This window comes from Homo sapiens, chromosome 17 (assembly GCF_000001405.40).
Source record: "Homo sapiens chromosome 17, GRCh38.p14 Primary Assembly".
Taxonomy (NCBI): domain Eukaryota; kingdom Metazoa; phylum Chordata; class Mammalia; order Primates; family Hominidae; genus Homo; species Homo sapiens.
The window spans coordinates 12583435-12606534 of record NC_000017.11 but is presented as its reverse complement, the minus strand read 5'-3'; the positions used below and the strand labels follow the sequence as shown (position 1 = coordinate 12606534).

General features: G+C 38.8%; 2 long non-coding RNA genes across 3 annotated transcripts in view; one reads left to right on the top strand and one right to left on the bottom strand.

Annotated features, from left to right (window-relative positions):
- LINC00670 (long intergenic non-protein coding RNA 670) overlaps positions 1-23100 on the bottom strand; it is an 87220-nt gene that overhangs the window by 30653 nt on the left and 33467 nt on the right. The window contains exons 2-3 of one of the 2 annotated variants that reach the window (NR_034145.1): positions 21814-21975; positions 15787-16094 (exon numbers count right to left, since the gene is read on the bottom strand). This is a non-coding gene — a long non-coding RNA (long intergenic non-protein coding RNA 670). The remainder of the gene's footprint in view (positions 1-15786; positions 16095-21813; positions 21976-23100) is intronic. The other variant, NR_034144.1, reaches the window with a different exon arrangement.
- Positions 575-14783, top strand: LOC105371540 (uncharacterized). Its single transcript, XR_934233.3, has 3 exons — positions 575-689; positions 9139-9247; positions 14708-14783. It is a non-coding gene; the product is annotated as an uncharacterized LOC105371540 (long non-coding RNA).

Here is a 23100-nt window from a genome sequence, read left to right as displayed (position 1 = left end):
CTGGAAAGTATTCACCATTCTAGATGCCATTAAGAACATTTGTGACTTACGGGAGGAGGTCAAAATATCAACATTAACAGGAGTTTGGAAGAAGTTGATTCCAACCCTTTTGGATAACTTTGAGGGGTTCAAGACTATAGTGGAGGAGGTCACTGCAGATGTGGTAAATACAAGAGAACTAGAATTAAAAGTAAAGCCTGCAGATGTGACTGCATTGCCGCAATCTCATGATCAAACTTTAAAGGATGTGGAGTTGTTCTTATACATGAGCAAAGAAAATGGTTTCTTGTGATAGACACTACTCTTAATGAAAATGCTGTAAACTTTGTTGAAATGACAAGAAAATGTTTAGAATACTACATCAACTTAGTTGATAAAGCAGTGGCAGGGTTTGAAAGAATTGACTTCAATTTTGAAAGTAGTTCTACTGTGGGTAACATGCTATCACATGGTATTGCATGTGATGGAGACATTCCTTGTGAAAAGAAGATTCAATCAATGAGGCAAACTTCCTTGTTGTCTTATTTTAGGAAATTGCTGCAGCCACTCCAACCTTCAGCAACCACCTCCTTGATCAGTCAGCAGCCATCAACATTGAGGCAAGACCCTCCACCAGCAAAATGATTATGACTTACTGAAGGTTCAGATAATCATTCTCACTTTTTGGCAACAAAGTATATTTTATTAAGGTATGTACATTTTTTTTTTTCCATTTAGACAGAGTCTCACTGTGTCTCCCAGGCTGGAGTGCAGTGGCGTGATCTCAGCTCACTGCAACCTCCGCCTCCCAGGTTCAAGCGATTCTCTGGCCTCAGCCTCCCTAGTATCTGGGATTACAGGCACCCACCACCACACCCAGTTAATTTTTGTATTTTTAGTAGAGGCGGAGTTTCGCCATGTTGGCCAGGCTGGTCCGAACTCCTGACCTCAGGTGATCCACCCGCCTTAGCCTCTCAAAGTGTTGGGATTACAGGTGTGAGCCACTGCGCCTGGCCCGGTATGTACATTGTTTTTTTAGACATAACACTACTGCACATTTAATAGACTACAATATAGTGTAAATATAGCTTTTATATGCACTGGGAAACCAAAAACTTTGTGTGACTCACTTTATTGCAATCTTCGCTTTATTGCAGTGGTCTGGAACAAACCCATTACATCTCTGAGGCATGTCTGTATTTAGAAGGCACCCCCCAGAGTTGTGCAAATTCAGCCTGCACAGACCTCCATAGCAGCTGCAACCATTGTCTAGCACTTAAAGGGCTTTTGAACTTCCTGCCCCCAACTCTACCTTCTCCTATCCATTCTGCCCACCAGCCAGTAATCTTTCAAAAGGATGAATCTAACCATCCTTCCCCTGCCCCCTGCCTTTCCTTAGGACACTTGATTGTCCTTTGCGTGAGTTTGCTAGGGCTGCTGTAACAAAGTACTAAAGATTGAGTGGTTCAAATGACAGAAATTTATTTTCTCACAATTCTGGAGGCTGGGAGTCCAAGAGCAAGGTGTCAGTTTCCTCTGAGGCCTCTCTTCTTGATATGCAGGTGGCTGTATACTCCCTGCGACTTTATGTGACCTTCCCTCTGGGTGTGTCTGTGTCCTAATTTCCTTTGCCTATGAAGACATCAGTCAGGGCCGGCGTGGTGGGTCATGCCTGTAATCCCAGCACTTTGGGAGGCCGAGGTGGGCGGATCACTTGAGGTCAGGAGTTCAAGACCAGTCTGGCCAACATGGCGAAACCCTGTCTCTATTAAAAAATACAAAAATTAGCTGGGCATGATGATGGGCACCTGTAATCCCAGCTACTTGGGAGACTGAGGCAGGGAGAATTGTTTGAACCCGGGAGGCGGAGGTTGCAATGAGCAGAGGTCATGCCGTTGCACTCCAGCCTGGGCGACAGAGCAAGACTCCATCTCAAAAAAAAAAAAAAAAAGACTTCAGTCAGATCAGACTACAGCCCACCCTCATGACCTCATTTTAACTGGGTTAGCCCTTTAAGGCCCCTATCTGTAAATACAGTTCCATTCTGAAGTGCTATAGCATTAGGGCTTCCATACATATGAGTTTTGGGGAGGCGCAATTTAGCCCACAGCAACCATGAAATAAAATCCAATTTCCTTAATATGGTGTTCAAGGCCTTTCGTGATGGGGCTGCTCCTCCCGCTGGGCTCTGGCTCTCACCCACCTCTTGGCATCCTGTGGTCTGGCGGGGGCTCTGTCCAGTTCTTTAGACCCACCACGCTCACTCCCCTCCCTCACCAGGCCCTTTCAGGTGCAGTCACCTCTGCCTGGAGCACCGTCTCTTCTCCCTGGTCTCCCATTCTCCTGGGAAATGACTCTGCTTCCTCCGAGCCTCACGTTCCATGGACTGTGTATCTTGGCCAGCCTGTATCTTGGCCACCCCTGTCCCCAGGGGTCCAGGTTTCAAGGTGCTTCTCTTTTGCGCTCCCATGAAATCTTATAGTCTCACCAATTACAGCACTTCATTCTCCATTTTATAATGACCAGTTGACCCACTGGTAACTCCCACTTGGTTTTGACGTATGAACCACAGTAACGTAAGGTGTGAACAATGCGAGAAACTGGGTGAAGTGGGCATAAGCCACTGTGTCTGTGAGGAAGGCCCTTGCAAATCCTCAAGTCTCTCAGACTCGCAGAAATGCATTTGGAAATATGGCCCTCGAGAGTGGGTGGCCCGTGGGAAAGGGCTGTGAGCCGCTGAGTCTCCAGGGCTTCCGAAGTTGCTTGGCATCAGGCATTGCCTAATATCCATGAGCTTAAATGCTACTGGGAACTCAATCATAATGTATTTACATTCTTATAAATCCAAATTACTGCTTGGAAACCATCCAGCAAATTCATTTCTGAGTAAGACAAATACATGAAAATCTTGCATTATGTGGATATGTGTCCAAAATATTACAATAAATATCAGTAGAATTTGCATTCAAATATTAGGCTATTTTTCCCAAATATGGCAGTGCTGTGATTATGTGATAAACATGAAAAAAGGCAAAATGCTTGTTTACATTTTGTCTTCAATTTTCTATTAGCAGGGTTTAAGTGTAGTGAGTTTGTATTTTCTCTTATTTAACTGGCCATTATTCTCTCTGAAAATCATATTATAAATAACCTACACAGCAGGAAAGAATGCTTGATACTGTTAAATTATTCTTTTTCTTTTTAATTAATACCTTCACCCTTGTGTCTTGAATAGAATAATCTAAGCACAGACAAGATGTGTTGGATCATAGTTAAAAAAAAGGGATATTCATTTAAATTTATTACTGGAATAAAGAGCCAGAGTCCCCATCAACAAAGACGATCTGCTTTTTGTGGCCCCAGAGTTTTAAGGAGCAGGTACAGGATCAGGAAACCCCCGATTCTAACTTGCAAGACTGGAGATTTGGGGATTCTGCCTGCCCCACATCTACTTCCAGGGATATTTTAAACTTAAATTATTCTTTGTCCTATAAGAAATGTATATTTGTTTTAAAAATTGGAACATAAATGAAAGCAAAAGCAAGTAATTAAAATATATTTAAGTAAGATTATACTGTTATAATTTGCTTTTTTATTATTCCATGTTCACAAATATACTTCTACAATTTTTTTTATGTCAGTTCATCCTTTATTATGTAATATGTGTGGTCATTGTACAACATTTTCCACATAGAATCTGAAAGTCATTATGTCCCATACTCAAATCTCACTCCTCAGGGTTACACATTTTGAAAGGTTTAATTTTTTTTTTTTTTTTTTTTGAGATGGAGTCTCGCTCTGTCGCCCAGGCTGGAGTGCAGTGGCGCGAACTCGGCTCACTGCAACCTCCGCCTCCTGGGTTCAAACAATTCTCCCTGCCTCAGTCTCCCAAGTAGCTGGGATTACAGGTGCCCACCATCATGCCCAGCTAATTTTTGTATTTTTAGTAGAGACAGGGTTTCACCATGTTGGCCAGGCTGATCTCGAACCCCTAACCTCAGGTGATCCGCCCGCCTTGGCCTCCCAAAGTGTTGGGATTACAGGTGTGAGCCACTGCGCCCGGCCAAATGGCTTGATATTTCAAGTAAACTTGTTATTTATAAAAATGGCAAAGATAGCTTATAAGGAGTTCCCATATGCCCTTCACCCCGTTTCTCCCATTGTTCACACCTTATGCTACTGTGGTTCATTTGTCAAAACCAAGAACCTGACATTGGTCCATTACTATTGATGAAACTCCAGATTTCACCAGTTTTCCATTAAGGTCCTCTTTCTGTTATAGGTTCCAATCCAGGGAACGACACTAGATTCTAATTTTTATGTCTTTCCACATCCATGACACTTTCTCAGTTGTTCTTTGCTTTTTTTATGACCTTGACAGCCTTAAGGGGTCTTGGACTGGAGGATACTTATTTTTAACCATATATTCATATTTTTCCATGTATATGTTAAAAATACCAAACATAACAAGCTATAGAATTTTAATACAAATATGACTTGTACTATACCCGTTTTATATATTTTTTTCATGTGCGGACATCATGCTACCTTAAAACTTACTTTCCTAAAAAGTTTCATAGTATTTAGTTATGTAGACTAAGTCTTAATTTATTAACCAGCCTCAGATGACAGATATCTCCTTAACATTCTATATTGAAATTACAAACTATGCTGCGATGATACTCCTAGATCTAAATCGCCAAGCATGTGATTGATAATTTTCTAAGGGTAACATACTAGAAGATGTCAAAGACTTTTCACTGAGAATATTATCTACATGGCCCAAAAGCTCTCCAAAAAGTTTTTGTGTATTTTTTTTTTTTTTTGAGAAGGCGTTTCACTCTTGGTGCCCAGACTGGAGTGCAATGGCACGACCTCAGCTCACTTCAACCTCCACCTCCTGGGTTCAAGTGATTCTCCTGCCTCAGGCTCCCCAGTAGCTGGGATTATAGGTGCCCACCACCATACCCAGCTAATTTTTGTATTTTTTGTAGAGATGGGGTTTCACCATGCTGGCCAGGCTGGTCTCGAACTCCTGACCTCAGGTGATCCTCCTGCCTTGGCCTCCCAAAGTACTGAGATTACAGGCGTGAGCCACTGCACCCGGCCCTAGTTTTTGTGTATTTGTAGTGCCAGCATTCATGTCTGCAACTGCATATTGCCGACCATTTCTTTCCCTAACGTGGAGTTTTGTTGTTTTTCATCTTTGACAACTTGATACATGAGAAGTGGCTGATTACATGTGAAGCTGAAATTTTTTCATGTTTATTACCCTTTTGACTTTTTTAAAAAAATTATATTTATGGGTATGCCCACATTGGTGGGGGTGGGGCGGGGAGAGGGGAACGGACGGGTCATCTTTTTCCTCACTCATTTATAAGAGCTCTTTCCACAGACAGGACAGTAGCCCTTTAACCTGATACATGAAAGTGACTTTTCTTAAGGTTCTGTTCTCCTTATTTTCTCCATAGTAGTTTTTATATATATAAAGGGAAGTTTTACATTTTTAATGTAGTCAATGATTATTTTTCCCATTATAAATATAAATTCTGCTCTTAGTATTATAGTCATGAAACCTTTCCCTATAATACAGCTATTTTGCTATTCACCTGTATTTTCTTCTGATATTTTCATCTCTCTGCCTTTCTTTAAACATTGAACCCATTTGTGGTTTAATTTGGTTTGAGATAGGATCCTAACTTTGTTTTTCCAAATGCTTAGCCAGCTGTCTCAACACCATTTAATGAACAACCCAGCCTTCCCCCATTGATCTGAGAATCCATTTTGACATTCCAAATTTAGGGACTAGAAGCAGACCACCTGTTAAGGATCCTGGAGCGATTTCCAGCAAGAGAAATAGGAATAGGCAATAGTGGAAAACCTGCCAGTTCTGTCTGTATGACCACTTTCAGTTAAATTGTCACTTTGCTGAAGGACATAGTCCAAGCAGAATACAATGATACATTTATATTCCTGCACTACACAGAGTTTATAGCTCTCTTGTCTCTTGCCTTTTACCCAGGAGCAGAGCTGTACTAGGAAGCGGCTCAGGGTTGCAGGCAACAGCTCTGTGCAAAACTGCCTGAGTCTCCTAAAAGGTATTCCAGTAAAAGTGTCCCTTAAGCTTTATGGTAGGCTTTCTACTTTTGCCATTTCATACATTTCTGCATAGAGAAACTTTATTCCCCAAATTAAGAAATCCACCACAAGTTACTAACTACCTAACAGTTTATAAGCTTAGTTGCAAATTCATTGAGTTACTTAAAGAATTAAAAATTACCTCTCTGATAATAAGTACCTAGAGGCCAGGCACTGGACTAAAAAAAAAATTTAAATTTTACCCAGTTCTCAGAGATATGTGCAAATATTGTCCCTAATTTTACAGATAAGAAACAAAGGCACAGATGTGGTAAGTAACTTGAAGACTGTCACACAGCTCTAAATGGTGGAGCAAGAATTCCAACCCCATCACAACCTGTGCTGACAACCACAACTTTCCATAACTTTCATCTGAACCTGAACGTTGATACATTTGCATGGCCTCTGATTCCTGGACTGAAAGACTTTAGTGACTATTGTAACAACTTCCCCACCAATGTGATTCCTTTCACTCCTAATGTATCTTCTTTTTTGCTTTGTGAAATTAAATCAACAAGGACACCAGGTCTTGAAATTGGGGTGTGGGCTCAATATATTGCACTGCAAACCCATTTTTCCAATTATGCAAAAATAATGTTGACAGAGTTTTAGTGGGTTCTAAAGGTTTATATGTGTTGCATTTCCTCTGTGGAATGTACCATCTACCACAAATGACAGCAGCTGACACAGAGCCAGTGACTCTGCCCATCTCTGTTCCTCCAGATCTCTCTGTGTTCCTTCCTGTCAACTCACAGTGAGAGGTTTAATGTGATTCATTACCTTTGCAGTTAGTAATTTTTATAAGATATCAATTATAATAGAATATAGCCATTTTATGCTCAAAGTGCCCTAAGCAATCTTTTCTGCAAACCCCTGACCTTATAGATTAAGAAACTGAAATTTGTCAATGTTAATTACATTCACAAAAGCACACAGCTGTTTAGTGGCAGAACCTGATGGAACGCTCAGATCTCCTGACCTCCACAGGCTTTGTTTGCTCTTTGTCCAACAGCTTGCTGCCTTCAGTTGTATGACGAATCTTGCTTTTTGATGATTTTTTTTTCTACAATGACTGGATGGCTGACTTAGGTTTCATGTAACCAAACACAGCTTGAAAGGGCTCTTCCCTATGCCATACAACAAAGTGCCTGTGAATGAGTTGATGGTTAAGACATGCGTACCCTACATCAACCTTCTAATCTTTTCTCAGTATGAAAATGTACAATTTATAGTGTCAGACTCCTGCAATGTAGGGATCAGAGCCTGAATAGTTTGCAAGTACATCTCCTAACTTCTTTTAATGGTCAGATGTCACAAAATGCTTTTTACAGGGCCTGCAAAGCACAATTCTTGCATAGTTTGGTTATCACTACATTCAATCCATGCACTCTACAAAATATGCTTTTAATTTTGTACATAAAAATACTATGTAAAAACTGCAGTTGGCTCACTCAGCATCCATTCCTGGTCCCTTCTTTCTTGTCATGATCTAGTCTAAGAGTCTGCAAAACTGCATACTTATTTTTTGGCTTCCTTTGTAGCTTTGGATGTTCATAGGGGATGTAAGCAAAATCTGTTGAAAGGGGTCTCTGACAAATAGTCCTGATCAAAAGAGGTATAGATGCAGAGGGTGGGCTCTCTTTCTTCTTCCAGCCTGGAGCATTTGTGATATCTATAGGTGCCATAGCTATCTTATAATGATGCAGCAACAAGCGTGACAAGGAAAACCAAAATGCTAAGGATGGCAGAATAAAAATGTTAGAAAGAGCCTGCGTCTCAGATGACATCATTAAGCAGCTGAAGGCATCCCCAGACATCCCCCACATACATTTATTGTTTTGTTTTAAATATAAAAGTATGCTTTGTAATAATATATTTTGAAAATTAAAAAATACAAAGAAGAAAAATGAAAATACATCATGATTCCTGTACTTAATTTTCAAGTGCTAATATTTTTGTGTGTTTTCTTAATACGTTATTTCTGTGAACATTTTTACCTATTAAAGTAGCATTAGTGTCTAAACTACTGTATAGTTTGACTTTCATTTTTTACTTAATGGTAAATTATGAGCATTTTTCCCGTGGCATTAAGTATTCTTATACAACATGGTTTAAAATAACCACATGGTATTCTATTCTATGAATATGCCACACTTTAGTTATCCAATTCTTCTTTGTTAGGATTTTTAGTTTTTTACCTTTTACCACTATTAATACTTATGTTATTAGTATTCTTCTCCATGAATCTTTATGTTAATCATCTTTTTCTTGGGATAAATTTCCCAAAGTGAAATTATTTGGTCCAAAAAATGATGATGTTTGCGATTTTTGATACTTATTGGCAAAGTTCCTGCCAAAAAGATTGTATTACTTTGGTTCCCATCACAGCTGGATTTGCAAGGTAGGACCCAGCTCAGACCCACCTAAAATTGCTTTCATTTTATTTGAAGGGCTCATGAATAAGCCAAAAAGGAACCAAACTAAACCGAACTAAAACCCGAAGGAATTAATTTGTCTAATTTTTGTTTCTTCAATTATTTGAAAAGAAGAGCATTTTCCCATATTTGTTAGGTACTTGTATTCTTTATGCAAATCATCTGTTTGGGCCTTTCTCTAATTATTTTTTGCTTATAGTAGTCATATTTCTCTTACTGATTTGTAAGAATTATTTACATATTAAAGACAACCATTATTTGTGTAAAGAATGTTACAATTTCACTTCTCTGATTATATAATGTGCTTATATTTTCTCCTATATATTATTTCACTTTTAAAATTAATTAATTATACAATTAATCTATCTGGAATTAATTTTGGAGTATTGTATGTGCAGAGGTCGAATTCTACTCTTTCCAATTGGCTAGGATTCTTACTGATTTTAAGTGGTTTTTATCTGATTTATATCTATTTCTGTTAACAATATTTGACACTTTAATATTTTACATTCTAAAATTATTACAGCTTGGGCATCCACTTTTGAAAAGATGGAGTAGACATAGTCTTCCCTTTTCTTCCTGCTAGGTGCAACTAAAAATTCTGGATATTCTGTACAAAAGAAACAAAATAAAAGTCTCAAGGATGGAGAGGAGGGACTGGCTAAAGATGCAGAGACCCAATGAATGACGCAGAGGTGAGTCCCTCAGGTTTTATTTTTGTTTTTTGTTTTTTGTTTTTTTTTGCCTCATGTATCCTAAACTTGGAAGTGAAGAAGCCAGCAACCCAGAAACCACCAATAAGCACACACACACGCGCGCGCGTGCGCGCGATCATAATGAAAGCCTGTTCTCATTAGCCAATGGACCAGAAAAGAGTCAACCTTACAAGACAGAAAACTTTCAGACGATAACTTCCCACTCCAGCGAAATGTCACAGAAAAAACTGTAATTATACCCTATACTCTGCAATAAAGACCAACTGAAGAGCCCAGAGTGTGTTGCCAGGTTAAAATACCCCTGTCAGCTGGTATCAAAAGAAGCTTAATACAGATTCAGGACTTTCATCCCACTCACTGGGTACAAGGCCACCTACTCCCCTCTCCATGGTGTCAGTGGAGGCCATGTAAAGACTAGTCATGAGGGCTGGGCACAGTGACTCACGCCTGTAATCCCAGTACTTTGGAAGGCTGAGGCGGGTGGATCACCTAAGGTCGACAGTTTGAGACCAGCCTGACCAACATGAAGAAACCCCGTCTCTACTAAAAATACAAAATTAGCCGGACATGGTGGCGCATGCCTGTAATTCCAGCTACTCTGGAGGCTGAGGCAGGAGAATCGCTTGAACCTGGGAGGCAGAGGTTGTGGTGAGCCGAGTTTGTGCTATTGCACTCCAGCCTGGGCAACAAGAGCAAAACTCTGTCTCAAAAAAAAAAAAAAAATAGTAATGAGGTGCCCTCCTTGCTGGGATAGTGTCAGAGAATTCCTAGTGGGAGCCTCGACTCCCATCCCCATCCAGAAGTTATGAGGAATCCTCTCCCTTGGCCGCAACGTGTCAACAGAAGAGAAGCCAGACCTTTCAAGCCTACCCGCAGAAATGAGGCAGCCTCCCCTTTCATTCACTAGAGTGGTGTCAGAGAAGACCTGCTAAAATAGGATTTAAAAAAGATCCAGTGTTTTGTATCATGATGCACAAAATATACTGGTTTCAATAAAAAAAATCACTTATCAAACCAAGAGCAAAGAACTTTTTAGCAAAATAATAGAACATTTCAGGTGAGGCACGGCTCATGCCTATAATCCCAGCACTTTGAGAGGCCAAGGCAGGTGGATCACCCGAGGTCAAGAGTTCAAGACCAGCCTGACCAACATAGTGAAACCCCGTTTCTACTAAAAAGCACAAGAATTAGCTGGGCGTGGTGGTGGGCTCCTGTAATCCCAGCTACTCGGGAGGCTGAGGCAGGGAGAATCACTAGAACCTGGTAGGCAGAGCTTGCAGTGAGCTGAGATCGTGCCACTGCACTCCAGCCTGGGCAACAGAGTAAGACTCAGTCTCAAAAAAAAAAAAAAAAAAAAAAAGATAATAATAATAGAACATTTCAACAAAGAAATATAAGATAAAAAGAACCAAATGGGAATTTTAGAACTAAAATATATAATAACCAAAATAGACAACTGAACAAATGGACTGAACAACAGAACTGAGAATAGAAGAAAGAATCAGAGAACTTGAAGACATAACAATAAAAATTATCCACTCTAAACAACAAAGAGAGAATAGATTGAAAACAAAATAAGAACACAACCTCAAGGGTATATGGCTCTATAATAAAGATGTAACATTAGTATTATTTGAGTTCCAGAAAGGGAGAAGAAAGACAGTGGAGCCGAAAAAGTATTTGAAGAAATAATGGCTTAAAATATCCCAAATTGACCAAAAAAGAAAAAAAAAATGGATGTAAGAAATCTACATCAAAACACATCATAGTGAAACTTCTAAAAACTAAATACAAAGAAAAATTTTTGAAAGCATTGAGAGAGAAATGACATATTGGTTATATGGGAAAAACAGTTTGGATAACAGTAGATTTCTCTTCAATAATCACAGAGCCCAGAAGAAAGTGCTGCAATATTTTTCAAATGTTGAAAGAAAAAAAAAAAAAAACAACCTATCAGCCCAGAATCCTATATCCAGAGAAAATATTCTTCAGGAATAGAGATAAAATAAAGACATAAGATAGAAGAGAACTAAGAGAATTTAAAACCCACAGACCTACCCTAAAAAATGACTCAAGAAAGTTCTCTAAACATAAAGAACAGAATAAAAGAAAGACTCAGTACATTAGAAAGGAAGAAATTATACATGAGCAAAAATATAAATAAGGACAATAGACTTTCTCCTCTTGAGTTTTCTATATGTTGACAGTTGAAGCACAAAGCTGTAACACTGTCTAATGAGGTTCTCAATCTATGTAGAGGAATTATTCAAGATAAGTATTCAGACATACATCAGAGATATTGTGGGTCTGGTTCTAGACCAGTGCAACAGAAATAGAATACTCATTCTTCTCAAGTGTTCAGGAAACATTCTTCAAAATAGATCACATGCTAGGCTACAAAACAAGTCTTAAGAATTTAAGATTGAAATTATTTCAAGTCTCTTTTCCAATCACAATGGAATGAAACGAGAAATAAAAAAATAGAATAAAAACAGAAAAATTTACAAATACATGAAAATTAAACAACACACTCTCAAACAACTATTGGGTCAAAAAAGAAGTCAAAAGAAAATTAGAAAATATTTTGAGACAACAAAAATGAGAACACAACAAAACAAAACTTATGAGATGCAACAAAAACAGTTCTAAGAGGGAAGTTTCCAGCAATAAACACCTACATTATAACAAAGAAAGATCCCAAGTAAGTAACCTAATTATATCTGAAGAACCAGAATATAAGAACAAACTAAATACAAAATTAGCAAAAATAAATAAATAAGTAAATAAAGATCAGAGCAGAAATAAATGAAATAGAAAATAGAAAACATTTTTAAAAAACTGACAAAACTATGAGCTGGTATTTTGAAAAAATAAATAAAACTAATAAAATTTTAACTAGATTGACTAAAGAAAAAAAGACTTAAAATATCAGAAACGAAAGAGGAAACATTACAAAAGATTTCATAGAAAAGAATCATAAGAAACCATTATACAAAATTATATGCTAACCAATTGGACAACCGAAAAGAAACGGAGAAATTCCTAGAAACATACACTTTTCCAAGAGTGAATAAAGAACAAATAGAAAACCTAAACAGTCCAATAAAAAACAAGGAGATTCGCCGGGCGTGGTGGCTCACGCTTGTAATCCCAGCACTTTGGGAGGCCGAGGCGGGCGGATCACGAGGTCAGGAGATCGAGACCATCCCGGCTAAAACGGTGAAACCCCATCTCTACTAAAAATACAAAAAATTAGCCGAGCATGGTGGCGGGCGCCTGTAGTCCCAGTGACTTGGGAGGCTGAGGCAGGAGAATGGTGTGAACCCGGGAGGCGGAGCTTGCAGTGAGCCGAGATTGCGCCACTGCACTCCAGCCTGGGCGACAGAGCGAGACTCCATCTCAAAAAACAAAACAAAACAAAATAACAAGGAGATTGAAGGAATAATAATAATGATAATAAACTGTCAACAAAGAAAAGTCCAAGACCAGTAAGCTTTGCAGTAAGCTTTGCAGGTGAATTTTACCAAAGAAAGAAAGAAGAATTAATACTATTGCTTCTTAAACTATTCCAAAAATAGAAGAAAAGGGAACACTTTTAAAGTTATTCTAGGAAGCCAGCATTACTCTGATATCAAAGCTAGATGAAGGCACCTCAAGAAAAAACAAACAAACAAACAAACTATAGGCCAATATCCCTGATAACAGACACAAAACCCCTCAACAGAATACAATCAAATTGAATATAACAGCACATTAAAAAAATTATACATCACAACCAAGTAAGATTTATCCCATGGATGTAAAAATGGCTCTACTTATGCAAATAAATCAATGTGATATACCACGTTAACAGAACGAAGGATAAAAATCGCATGATCATCTCAATAGACGCAGAAAAAAGTATTTGACACAATTGAACACTTCGTGATAAAAACTCTTAATAAGTTACATATAGGAGGAACTTACCTGCGCACAAGAAAGGCCACATATGACAAGCTCACAGCTGACAGCATATTCAAGGGTAAAAAGCTAATGTCTTTCACTCTAAGATCTGGAACAAGGCCAGGACAGCATATTCAAGGGTAAAAAGCTAATGTCTTTCACTCTAAGATCTGGAACAAGGCCAGGATAACCACTCTTGCCACTTCCGTTCAATTACATAGTACTAGAAGTCTTTACCAGCGAATTAGCCAAGAAAAAAAAAATAAAAGTCATCCAAACTGGAAAGGCAGAAGTAAAATGATTTCTGTTTGCAGATGACATAGTCATATATATATATATATATACACCCTAAAGTACACACACACACACACACACACACAGAGAGAGAGAGAGAAATTGTTAACTTATAGACATATTCAGTGAAGTGGAAGAATATAAAATCAACATACAAAAAATTAGTTTCATTTATACAGACTGAAAAAGAAATTAAGAAACAACTCCATTTACAAACGCATCAAAAAACCCAAAACACTTAGGAATAAACTTAACCAAGACAGTGAAAGACTTGTACACTCGAAACTACAAAACATGAACAAAATTTTTTTAAGACGCAAATGGAAATATTTTTCATGTTCATTGATTGGAGGAATTAATATTGTTAAAATGTTCTTCCTTCCTGTAGGAGATAGCTTAAAAAATTAAGAAAAGAAAATGTTCTTACTTCCCAAATCAATCAATAGATTCAATGCAATCTCCAACAAAATCCCAATGGCATTTTTGCAGAAATAGAAAAAAAATCCTATTATTCATTTGGAAACACTAAAGACCCTCAAAGCCTGCAGTAATCAAAACAGTGTGGTACTGACATCAAAACAGATATATAGACAAATGGGATAGAATACAGAACCCAGAACGGAACCCAGGCATATATGGTCAACTTATATTTACCAAGGGTGCCAAGAATATACTATGGAAAAAAGAATCTCTTTAATATATTGTGTTGGGAAAATGAGATATTCACATGGAAAAGAATGAAATCAGAGCACTATCTCATGACACATATAAAAATCCACTAAAATGGATTAAAGACTTAAATGTAAGACATGATAAATAAAATATTAAAATAAAACATGGGGGAAAAGCTTCTAGATGTTGGCCTGGGCAATAATTTCTTCTATAAGACACCAAGAGAGCACAGGCAAAAAAAAAAAAAAAAAAGCAAAAATAGATAAGTGGAATTATATTAACTAAAAAGCTTCTGTACAGCTAAGAAAACAATCAACAGAATGAAAAGGCAACCTGTGGAATGGAAGAAAATATTTGCAGACCATATATCTAATAAGGAGTTAATAGCCAAAATATGTAAGGAATTTCTACAACTCTATAGGAAAAACCCCAATAACTGATTCATGCTTTCTTGAATTATACTGAGAAAAAAATCATGTTTATTAAAATTTTCTTTATGTTTCTTATAGTTTATCTTCATTTATGTTTCAGAGTCGTTCCACAGGCCCCAGCTGGCTATTTTCTCTCTATTCACCTTTAAAGGAGAGTTTTATCCGTGTCTTGCATTCATATAATTGGCGAGTATCCTTTTTGATTTCTCTTATGTGTTAAATGAATTCCTTTTGAATTCTGCAGTCCAGCAGCCTGAGGAGGTGTGCAGTGAACTGTAGGTCAAGAACCTAGATCTGCATCATTTGTTTTCTGCTATGTGAGAAGCTGCCATGCTATCTACTGTATCTGGTCACTACACCCAGGACAAGCTCAGACCCCTTCCTGATGTGTCAGCCTCTTGTGTTTGGACAAGCCATCCCCTCCCTGCCTGATCTCTGCTTGGCTGCGTAAACAACTGGGAGTCCTATTTCAGCTGTTTTCCGGTCCCTCAGCAATGGGCATTTGCAATCTGAGTCCTACCTAATGTTGGAGTACCATTTGGCCCCGTTGGCCCCTCACTCTCTCCTTCTTGAAACTGTTTCCTTGCTTTCTGGGTCTCTGATATTCCTCTGACTTGCCTTCTATCTTCATGACTATTTTTCTCAGTATCATTTGACAGCCCCTCTTGTTCAACCTGACCAGTACGTGTTTTCTCCTCACAAATCTGTCTTGGTGTTCTTTTTATTCACACACTCTCAAAGGGTGACCAACTACTGCAGTTTGTTCAAGCCTGAGAATGTTCCCATGACATACGACTTTCAGTGCCAAAATCGAGAAAGTCTCAAAGAAGAATGATTTGCTTACCCTCCCATACAAATCTTTGTTCCATTGATTTCAAGTACCTTTTGGATGTCAAACGCTCTAAAATTTATTTATTCGGCCCAGACCTCTCTTCTGATCTCATTTCCAGCTATGTACTAGACATCTCTGTTTGAATGTTCCCTCCCACTCCAAAATATCTTCTACATTCTCTAACTCAGGACACTTTACAGCATTTATCCAGTTGTCCTTTCCATCACAGGGAAATGATCCCTGACTCTTCCATCTCCCTCCATTCTCACATCCAATTAATCGACAAATTGTAATAATTGTATTTGATTTAAAAATGCTTTCATAAATGCCTCTCCATGATCTCTTACCCAGAATACTGTTGCATCTTGTTAAACGGTGTGTAGTCCACAGGATGTTTACGACTCTCTTGGTTCTACTCCGTCCAGACAAATGTCCGAATTTCACCTCTCAGCTCCTTGGAGATAGTCATGTACTTTGGCCATAACATATCAGCAGATATGACGTGGGACACTCTTCTGTATGACGAGCTGGTGACTGATTTGCTCCATTTTCCTCTCCCTGCTATGGCAAATGACAACCCTTCATGGTGGAAGCTTGTCAGTCTGCATCCCCGCGTGAGGACGAGGTGGACCAGAATCCATGAAAGATGTGCAGCCTGAGTGAGAAAAACATTTTTATTGTGTGAGCCACTGAGATTTGGGGGATATTTATTACCATAGGACAACAAAACTTACACTGACAAATACATGTGGCCTCCGCAGCTTCCATGTTCGGCTGCTCCAAACAATTTCCACACAATAACCAGAACAATCTTTCAAATTATATGAAAAATGGATTAGTCAATCCGTGTTCAATGATTTCTTATGGACTTAGGAAATACAATTGTTTTTCTTTCTTTTTTTTTTTGAGACGGAGTCTTGCTGTGTCGCCAGGCTGGAGTGCAGTGGCACAATCTCGGCTCACTGCAACCTCTGCCTCCCGGTTCAAGCAATTCTGCCTCAGCCTCCCGAGTAGCTGGGATTACAGGTGCCTGCCACCACGCCTGGCTAATTTTATATTTTTAGTACAGATGGGGTTTCACCATGTTTGTCAGACTGATCTCGAACTTCTGGCCTCGTGATCTGCCCGCCTCAGCCTCCCAAAGTGCTGGGATTACAAGCATGAGCCACTGCGCCCAACCGGAAATACAATCCTTAATGCAGGCTATCATGCCTTGTCTCTCTCTCCAGCTTCTCTCTGCTTGCACCTCTCTCTCTCACACTCTTTTGCTCTCCTCTCTCTCTCTCTCTGCTTCTCTTTGTTTCAGACATAATGCATTTCTTTCAAATGCTCAACTGCTACACTTTCTTTTACCTCGGTACCTTCACGAACGTTTTGTTCATTCCTCCTCACTCGCCTTAAGAGCAATTAATTTTCTTTTGAGTGGTCTCCTAAAAGTTACGCTTTCTAGGATAATTTTTGGACCCCAGAATTAGATTAGGTTTACCTGCTATATGCTTCTGTGGCACTCTGCTATTTTTCATAGTAAAACCCAGGGTACTTTTCATCTATTTTTAAAAATTTCCCACTGGAAGCTCCGTGAGGCCAAGGGGCTCTGCATACCTTGGTACTATTCCCAGCAACTGATTTAGAGTGCCTGGCACATAAGAGCTTACGTAAGTATTTGTTAAGTCAATTGAATAAATTAACAACAAAAATTCCCATTGCAGTATCTGTTAACTAAAGTGTGTGTTACGGGGATGAGACTTTTTCCCAAGGCTGGGGTATTTGGCACTTCTCTGCAATGTATTCCGCTCACATGTGCTGTTGCTGATGCCTAGAATGCTATTCCTCTCCTTCCCTACCACATACACAAATTTCGTTTTCCATTTTCTCCACCCACTAGTTCCCATCTATCCTTAGGTCTCAGCTTAAATATAATTTCCTTGGAGAATATTTCTCACAGTCTCCAGACCACAACAGACTCACTCTTTTATACTGTCATGATAACTGATTCTTTTCCTTTCTTTATTTAACTTTTATTTTGAGTTCAGGGGTACATGTGCAGGTTTGTTACATAGGTAAACTTGTATCATGGACATTTGTTGTATAGATTATTTCATCACTCAGTATTAAACCTAGTACCCATTAGTTATTTTTCCTGCTCCTCTCCCTCCTCCCTTCCTCCACCCTTGTGTAGGCCCCAGTGTATGCTGTTCCCCTCTATGTATCCATGTTTTTCATCATTCAGCGCCCACTTATAAGTGAGAACATGCGGTACTTGGTTTTCTGTTCCAACGTTAGTTTGCTAAGGATAATGGCCTCCAGCTCCACCCTTGTTCCTGCCAATGATATGACCTCATTCTTTTTCATGGCTTCATAGTATTCCACTGTGTATATGTACCACATTTTCTTTATCCAGTCTACCATCAATAGGCATTTAGGTTGATTCTATGTCTTTGCTATTGTGAATCGTGCTGCAATGAACATACACGTGCATGTGTCTTTATGATAGAATCATTTACATTCCTTTGGGTATATACCCAGTAATGGAATTGCTGGGTTGAATGGTGTTTCTGTTTTTAGATCTTTGAGGAATCACAACACTGTCTTGTTTCCACAATGGTTGAACTGATTTACACTCGCACCACCAGTGTATAAGTGTTCCTTTTTCTCTGCAACTTGGCCAGCATTTTTTTTCTTTTTACTTTTTAATAATAGCCATTCTGATTGACACTGATTCTTTTCATTGCAGTCTTACAAAGTCATTTGGTTTGAGTTACCACTGCTGTCACCAATATTACAACCAAGCTCACTTCTGCTTTTACCATTGCCCACTAATAGTTACTGACTGTGCACCATGTACTGGGCACTCTTGTGTGTCTTACTTTACATAGATGATCTGCCTATAGCCTCAGAATGTCATCTTAAAAGAGGATTGATAAGACCTTGATTTGGAAATCAAATTTGCATTTTTACTTCAGAGCTTACATATTTTAACCAGTATATTTTATTTGGTTAATGTTTTTGACCCATACTCTGATTATTCTCCTTTGGATAGCTGAATTTATTTTATTCACATTTATTGTTATGTTATCTTTGTTTGGCTTCGTTTCTGTAGTTTCCTTTTGTATCATGTTCTCTGTTTTTACTCATACATTTCTTTAAAAAAGTATTTATTGAGCATTGACAGTATACTAAGTACGATGTTAGATGCTGGGATACAGCAGTGAACCAAATAGAATTTCTGCCTTCGTAGAATTGATTTCTAGTTAGGAGAGGCAAAAAATTATGATAATAACAACAAATAAATATGCAGTGGTGGTGATAAGCGCTGTGGAAAAAAAATAAAGTAGGAAAATAGGAATAAGAAGCATGGTTATGGGAAGGAGTGCTATTTATTTAGGGAGGTCACTCGGGGAGTCACGTTGATGTTTATTTTGAATGACTTCATTATATATACTTCCTTTGTTTTCTTCTTTTGTGATGGGTATTTGTTTTGCTGTGTGTGTTTTCCATCTGATACATATGTTCATACAATTGTCTAACCATACGCATATATCTTTATTTTTATCATCTTCAGACAGTAGCTGTTGATGGTTTCTATGAAAGGTAAGGAAATCAAAGAAAGGATACTTTCTTTAGCTTCTCTCCTGCCCACGTCTATCTGATTTTGTTAAAGTTATGGCCTAAGATGGTCCCGTGAGACTCATGGGAATTATGATATGTGAGAAATTCAGATTATGAGACATCTCCTGGCAAGCACATTTAAGAGCAACTCAGCCATAGTGAGCGCCACTATGCAGCCACGTTCTCAGTAGTATAGTTTGCACAGGTTTTAGTAAGCCCTGGCAGGTCCATGATTTGCTAGTTTGTAGTGGTGATGATCCTGTGAATTATTTGCATTGTTTGTACTGATTTTGAGGGTCATTTACTATTTATTTATTTATTTATTTAGAGACAGAGTCTCGCTCTGTCGCCCAGGCTGGAGTGCAGTGGTGCGATCTCGGCTCACCACAAGCTCTGCCTCCCGGGTTCACGCCATTCTCCTGTCTCAGCCTCCCGAGTAGCTGGGACTACTCGGCCACCCGCCACCATGCCTGGCTAATTTTTTGTATTTTTAGTAGAGACGGGGTTTCACCATGTTAGCCAGGATGGTCTCGATCTCCTGACCTCGTGATCCGCCTGCCTCAGCCTCCCAAAGTGCTGGGATTACAGGTGTGAGCCACCACGCCCTGCCTACTATTTATTTTTAATTTTTAACTATTTTCATGTTTTTAGAAACAGGATCTCGCACCTCCATCACCCAGGCTAGAGTTCAGTAATGCAATCACAGCTCACTGCAGCCGTGAATGCCAAGGGCTCAAGCGATCCTCCCGCCTCCCAAAGCACTATGATTATAGGCATGAACCACTGTGCCGGGCCTTATTTTTATTTAAATTAAAGATTCAATTACTCAAACATTGAGTAGATATGTTTTATTTGTAACTGAATGAAGTACAATTATAATTATGTTTTTATTTTGATAATTCACCTTACAAGGAATTTTTTTTTTTTTCAGATGGAGTTTCACTCTTGTTACCCAGGCTACAGTGCAATGATGCTATCTCAGCTCACCATAACCTCCACCTCCCAGGTTCAAGCAATTCCCCTGCCTCAGTCTCCCGAGTAGCTGGGATTACAGGCATGCAGCACCATGCCCAGCTAATTTTATATTTTCAGTAGAGATGGGGTTTCTCCATATTGGTCAGACTGGTCTTGAACTCCCGACCTCAGGTGATCCACCTGCCTCGGCCTCCCAAAGTGCTGGGATTACAGGTGTGAGCCACCGGACCCGGCCTACAAGGATTTTTTAAGGAAAAGATTACCCTCCAAATAGAAAATTTCATTATGTTTTCTACTTTTTCAGCATTAATAAAAATTTACATTGTTTTCTGTGGCTATAGTTTTCAAAATTCTTTGTTTAAGTTGGTTTAACAAACATTTTCAATCTTTTATCATGTCTTTTCATTTGCCTCTTGAAAATCTCAATTAAGTTATCAGATACTTTGTTTTCTTCCCACAAGAACTTAAGGATGTTATGTTTATTTTGTTCCTGCATATTTAAATATGTCCGTCTTGCTGTAAAACATTTGGTCCCATTCCTTAACTGAGGAGTTGTAGACATTGCTATAGAGAACTTTGAACCTAGTTTGATTCTTTCTTTTGCCCCATAGGTAGTTTGAAAAATATATGTGATTATTTTGCTTGGTTATTTATTTATTGAGAGGCTGGGGAGACTATACAGAGGAGTTGCTGGATGTTATAGGATACGTAATCATGGAAACCAAAAAATTTAATGGCTATGTTTTGGTTGATCAGTTTTTCTTGGGACACAGTGTGATCTTTCAATCATAAGACATGTATCTACCTTTGTTTTATAAAATGTCTTCTCTCATATGTTTGGATATTTTATTTCTGCCACATTTGTTCAGTTTCCTTTGGGGAGGCGTTCACAAATTACATGCATATTTATTCACTATGTCTTATTTTCTCTGTAACTCTTTGGCTTTTCCACATATTTTGTTCATTTCTTTCTAACTCAGCCTGTCCTCCATGTTTCCCTTTCTCAGCAATATTTATTTTAATTTCAGCATGGCTTTAGCTTTAAATTATTTTTCTCTTCTGCATTTTCGCCAGATCTCTCTCAGCTCACATTTATTTCTTTGTATTGCCTTATCATATCTTCTTTGATCCCTATATCTCTTTTCTGAGCTCTGATTTCCCAGGCACCATGATCAGTTCTTTGACTCTGGATAAATGTTTGTGTGTACTGTTGTTCTGCTTGCAGAGTAATTCTTCTGAGGTCTAGCCTCCATCTGGCTTTGTTTGGCATGTTCCTTTCTTCCAGCCAGTTATATCCATGCATATTTCTCAGGCTGGCTCTTTTCTGATTATTACTTATCTCTAAATGGGAGCAATTTTTTCCTGGGTCAAGCATTTGCTAAAAAATTGGAGGAGGAGTAGTACAGGAGGACATTTTACAGGGGACAAGGCACTCTTCCTCGAACTTTGGAGTGGGTTTCTGCTAAGAGCTCAATTTCCTCCCCCTTTCTCCGCTAAGAATGACTACATAGTTCGCCTGTGTGTAACAGGTAGTCATACTTACGGAACGGGATTTAGTGTGTATCGCATTTCAGCAGATGGTGACTGCCACCTCTCTACCTTGCCATACAGAGCACTGGCTTTTCACAAAGATACTGTGTCTGTGTAATTTATCATCCAGCGCCAGCTCTCCCTGTCACTAGATAACATGGAATGGGACTTGGAGATGTTTCTAGTGCCCAAGCAGTCCCCACATCCAGACATTCCAGCAAGGAGCCATTGGCTGGCCTTTTTAAGGTGATGGAACTTACATTTGCAGTACTCTGCCGTGGAGTATATTCACTCTTGATATTTGCCACCACTTTGATCCAACTTTCATTTTGTTTAGCAGCTACATTTTGTAGTTTGTGGTTGCAGATGCTTCTCAGTTTCACGAGGCTTTCTCTTCTACGTTTTTTCATTCTTCTTGTTGCCTTTAATTGATTTTAGGAAGGAGAGTGGGAAAACATGGTTTTACTCCATTGTTAATTGGACAGCCTGGTATCCTTTTTATCCCCCTCTGTATACTTTCGTGGTTTTTGCTAACAGGAGCTGGAAATATGAGGGTCATTGCCTCCCATCTGCACATTTGTTTCCTCTCTTGTGTATTCTTGCAACTTACTGGCTTTGGACTTGATTCATGACATTCTTTCATGCCCAAAATATGTATGGAACACCCTTTCAGTGCCAGAGCCCTGATCAATATTTTGTAATTCTTGCACGCATAAAATATACAGTCCAGAAGCAGGTAAGCATCAACCGACCGAACAAAAACATCTCACAAAATTTATGTAAAATTAGGAACTATACTAAATGATCTAGATGGACTACTCTCCAGTGCAAACTTCTGTGAGAATGGAAATCTTCTGTACCTACATGTCCAATATGGTAGCCACTAATTGCATATGATTATTGAGCACTTTAGATGCAGGCAATGTGCTGAGAAACTGAATTTCAAATGTTATTTAATTAATTTACATTTAAACACACACGTGCAGGTAGTGACTACTTACTGGATGGTGCAATTCTAGAGGGAAAGGACAAGGGGTATGAGATAGAACAACAGGGAGGAAGTTTAGTTAAGGGTGTTGCACAAGAAAGATGTTACATTTTATTTGAGACATAAAAGGTAAGAAGAGGATATCTAGGTAAAGGACATGGAAGAACATCATTAGAAACTGAAAGGAAAAAATGCATAGGCCTTGAGGGAGGAGAATACGTGACATGTACAGGAACTGAAAGAGAACCAGTGAGGGGGCAAATTGATGGAGGGGGAGGGCAGTGGCATGGTTCAGGCACTCCAAATCCTATAACCCAGCATTAACTTTCTGCTGGGTTATCAGGGTTTCGAATGCCTGAAATCAGATTGAGCTCAAACTACCCCAAAATATTTGAACTGTCTTATGGTCTACATGTATGTAAAAATGGATTATATGTACAATTAGCTTTGAAATAATGATATTTTCCCCACACTATGCAGTGTGCTGCTAATGAAAAAAATTTAAAATATTGACAGGCTGTATTAGAAAGTAAAAACTTTATAAATAGAGTAAGAAAGA